The sequence below is a fragment of the Homo sapiens genome, chromosome 7 (genome assembly GCF_000001405.40).
Source record: "Homo sapiens chromosome 7, GRCh38.p14 Primary Assembly".
In the NCBI taxonomy this organism is placed as follows: Eukaryota; Metazoa; Chordata; class Mammalia; order Primates; family Hominidae; genus Homo; species Homo sapiens.
Genome location: NC_000007.14, coordinates 90,575,881 through 90,580,698, shown reverse-complemented (window position 1 = coordinate 90,580,698; position 4,818 = coordinate 90,575,881). Strand labels below are relative to the sequence as shown.

General features: G+C 39.6%; 1 annotated feature.

Moving 5' to 3' along the window:
• Positions 316 to 1,515: an enhancer, noted in NCBI's record as "MED14-independent group 3 enhancer chr7:90208498-90209697 (GRCh37/hg19 assembly coordinates)". NCBI's record gives its function as "activates an origin of replication core promoter dependent on BRD2, BRD4, P300/CBP and CDK7 cofactors, and independent of MED14, by STARR-seq in HCT116 cells {active_cell/tissue: HCT116}" and the evidence as "EXISTENCE:reporter gene assay evidence [ECO:0000049][PMID:35650434]".

Sequence of the window (4,818 nt, the reverse complement as noted above, 5' to 3'; positions counted from 1 at the left end):
TGCAGTCAGCTGAGATCGTGCCACTGCACTCCAGCCTGCACGACAGAGCAAGGCTTCATCTCAAAATTAATTAATTAATTAATTAATTAAACATTAAGAAAGCAGGGTAAGTAGGTGGAGAGTGGCTAGCGAAGGAGCTATTTCTGATCATAGGCCGGCCTTTATAAAATGACTTTTCAGCAAAAACATGAATTAAGTCACGGTTTGAGCCACGAGAAGATATATTTGAGGCTGAAGGAGGAGGAAGTGCCACCAACCTGACATAGGAATGAACTGGACTCAGCAAAGGAGAAGGCCTAGGATGGGGACAGAATGAGGGGGAAATTAGCAGGCTATGAAATCAGTAAGGAAGGCAGGGGCAGTTCCATGTGCAGCCTTACAGGTAAGACGTCAGCTGTTGTGATAGGTGTGACAGGAAACCCATGGAGGATTTTAAGCAGGGCAGTGACAAACTGTGACTCACATTATCTTAGCTTGCAATAGAGTCTGGACTTCAGGTTCTGTGACTGTCGCCCTTTCTTTTATTCTCTTGAGTTGTGCTGTTATGTGGCTACTGAGTATGTGAAATGTGGCCTGTCTGAATTGAGGTTTGCTGGAAGTGTAAAATGCACGCTAGATTTCAAAGTACTTAGTACTGTACCCCCTAAATCTAAAAATAAAAGCTGAAAAAAAATAAACCCAAAGACTTAGTACAAACAAAAGAATGTAACAGATTTCATGAACAATTGTTTATATTCATTACGGCGAAATGATAATAGTTTAGATGTGGTGGGTTAAATAAAATATAATATTCAACTTATTTTCACCTATTTCTTTTTAGGTCTTAAAAATGTAGCTTTTAAGGCAGCGTACAGTGGCTCATGCCTGTAACCCCAACACTTTGGGAGGCCAAGCAGGAAGATCACTTGAGCCCAGAGTTCGGGACCAGCCAGGGCAACATGGCGAGACCCTGTCTATACAAAAAGCACAAAAATTAGCTGGGCGTGATGGCACATGCCTGTAGTCCCACCACTTTGGGAGGCAGAGGTGGGAGGATTGCTTGAGCCCAGGAGGTCAAGGCTACAGTGAGCCATGATTACACCACTGCACTTCAGCCTGGACAGCAGAGGGAGACGGTCTCAAAAAAAAAGAAAAAAGTACCTTCTAGAAAATGTTAAATTACATGTGTGGCTTGAGTCATATTTCTATTGGATAGCATTGGTCTAGACAACTTCCCTTCTGCTTTTATCTTCAGAATGTTACGAAGACAATGAAATAACTTGTATAGTGCTCTTTGAGTTTTCTTAAGGAAACACATTGTGTAACTACAAGATAAATTATTGAGGATGACAGTCAGCCAAAAAGTGTGCCAGTTCTCTATAGACCTAAGATAATGTTACTGACTGGGTCGTGGTTTTGTGTTGTTTTTCCTACAGTGGTGATGAGTTTGCACAAAGTCATCTGTAACATTTCTGTCCCCACCCACGCTCCTCCCTCCCTGTATTCCCTCATGACCAAAACAGCATATTTTTGAAATACCTGGCCCAGGTTAAGAATGCAGTTCTCCAGCCATGGAAATTTTTCTCTTTGCAAAGCCGTCAGTTCTGTATAGGTTTGATCCTAAGCCTATTTAACATGATATTTTAATTATCTGGTCTACTCAAGCAAGCAAATTTCAACTGTCAGTAATTATATCTATAATCATAATCATAGAATACTCTTGGTTCTCATATTTCATTCTAAATGTGGTCGATTAGACTGTACTTATATTGAAAAAATCGCACACATGCTCTAACCAAGAAAGTTGTTATTCTTTGTAAATTTATATCTATGGAAAGTCTCATAACGTTACCAATTAAGTCATATTTTGATTTATACATGGCAGGATTTAAAATATAATTATAAGACATCGTAATTATTGAGGGTGATATAGCTATATTACTCTATCCTAGGCCTTGGATAGCAGTAAGAAAATAGAAAATCAGACAGAACCTCACTCATCTTCTTTGCCTGCTCATGTCTGTTTCGTTTTGTTTTTTTTTTTATTTTATTTTATTTTATTTTATTTTATTTTATTTTATTTTATTTTATTTTTTGGAGATCAAGTCTCATTCTGTCACCCAGGCTGGAGTGCAGTGGCGTGATCTCGGCTCACTGCAACCCCTGCCTCCCAGGTTCAAGCAGCTCTCCTGCCTCAGCCTCCTGAGTAGCTGGGATTACAAGCACACACCACCACACCCAGCTAATTTTTGCATTTTAGTAGAGACGGGGTTTCACCATGTTGGCCAGGCTGTTCTCAAACTCCTGAGCTCAGGTGATCTGCCCGCCTTGGCCTCCCAAAGTGCTGGGATTACAGGCGTGAGCCACTGTGCCTGGCCTTCTTTTCATTTTTTTGAGACAGAGGCTCGCTCTGTGGCCCAGGCTGGAGTGCAGTGAAGCGATCATGGCTCACTGCAGTCTCGAACTCCTGGGCTCAAGTGATCCTCCTGCGTCAGTGTCTTAAATACCTGGGACTACAGGTGTGTGCCACCTGTAGAGCAGGCGGCACACAGGTGGTGCACGCCTGTAGCTCCAGCTACTCAGCTATGCCTGTCTAATTTTTAATTTTTTTGTAGAGATGGGGTCTTGCTAATATTGCCCAGGCTGGTCTCGAACTCCTAGCCTCAAGTTATCCTCCTGCCTCAGCCTCCCAAAGTGCTGGGATTACAGGCATGAGCCACCATGCCCAGCCTCATTTCTGCTTCTACCTTCTTTTTCTCTCCAGTTAGGCGAAGGGCAGGCTTCACTCTCAATTTTCAGTCTCAATCTTTGTGCTTTGGACTATTTCCTCCCTTCCTCTCGAAGACCTCACTTCTTTGCTTTACCCTTTTCTCTCCTGCATGTCACTACATCCCACCTTACTAGATCACAGCTCCATCAGCAAACAGACAGCCATAGAATCTCCCATCTTTAAACAAGCAAAGAAACACACAAACACCTCCTTTGGCCCCACATTTCCTTCTATTTACAGCTTTTCAACTCCCCCTTCACAGCAAAATCTATCAAAAAGAGTTTTCTAGAGCTCTGTTTCCATTTCTTCACCTCCCATTCATTCTTGTTCTTCATTTAAATTATTGTTTATTTATTTTTATTTTATAGGCTTTTTGGGTGCTTTAATGATTTTTTAAAAATTTCAGTGTACAACATGATGTTTTGAAATATGTATATATTGTGGAGTGGCTAAATAAAGTAAATTAACATATGCATTATCTCACTTTCTTTGTGGTGAGAGCACTTAAAATCTACTCTTAGCAACATTTGAGCATGCAATACATTGTTATTAACTGTAGTCACCGCACTATACAATAGATCTCTTTAACTTATTCCTCCTGTCTAACTCAGGTTTTGTGTCCTTTGATCAACAACTCCCCAACCTCTCTCCCTCCACAACCCTCGGTAACCACCATTCTACTCTCTGCTTCCATGAGTTCAAATTTTCAGATTCTATATATGAGTGAGGTCATATGGTATTTCTTTCTGTGCCTGTCTTACTGTACTTAACATAATGTTCTCCAGGTTCATCCATATTGTCACAAAAGACAGGATTTCCTTCTTTATTAAGGCTGAATAGTTTTTCATATATACCACATATATTTTATCCATTCATTCATTGATGAACACAGGTTGATTCCATATCTTCGCTATTGTGAATAGTGCTGCAGGGATCATGGGAGTGCAGATATCTTTTCTACATACTGATTTCATTTCCTTTGGATATGTACCCAGAAGTGGAATTGCTGGGTCATACGGCAGTTTTATTTTTAAGAGGAATCTCCACGCTGTTTTCCATAATGGCTGTGCTAATTTACATTCCCACAAACAGTGTGCTAGGGTTCCCTTTTCTCCACATCCTCACCAACACTTGTTATCGTTTGTCGTTTTCATAATAGCTATTCTAATAGTTGTGAGGTCATATGTTATTGTAGTTTACATTTGTATTTCTCTAATGATTAGTGTTATTGAGCTTTTTTCTTCCCCCCATATACCTGTTGATCATTTGTATGTCCTCTTTTGAGAAATGTCTATTCAGGTCCTTTGCCCATTTTTTAAATTGAGTTATTTGTTTTCTTCCTAGTAAGTTTTTGAGTTCCTTATATACTTTGAATATTAACCCCTTAGCTGATGTATGGTTTGAAAATATTTTCTCCCATTATATAGGTTGTTTTTTCATGCTGTTGATCATTTCCTTTGCTGTGCAGAAGCTTTTTAGTTTGATATAATCCCATTTGTTTATTTTCACTTTTGTTGCTTGTACTTTGGGGGTCATATCCAAAAAGTAATTGCCCAAACCAATGTCATGGAGCTAAGTCCCTATGTTTTCTTCTAGTAGTCTTATATTTTCAGGTCTTATGTTTAATCTTCAATCCATTTTGAGTTGATTTTTGTATATGGTATGAGATAAGGGTCTAATTTTTTTCTTCTGCAATAGATATCCAAATATCCTAAAATTATTTGTTGATGAGACCATCCTTTCCCCGTCCCATTCATTCTTCAACTCTTTATGATTATCTTTCTTTCCCCTACTAAAACTGCTCTTGTTACGGGCAACCTAAGACTTCCATGGGACAAAATGCAAGAGATCTTTCTGTCTTCATTTCACCGTGTTCTTGTTGTGCATATGATACAGTTGGCCACCCCCTCCTTTAAAGTGCTCTTCCCTTGACTTCCATGAGGCTATATTCTAGTTTTCCACCTACCCAACTGGCTATGCATTTTCAGTTTCCTTTCTAGCTCCTTTGCTTCTATTAGACTTCTAAATGTTGGAGATCTTCTGATTCCTTGCACTTCTTCTCTTCTTTT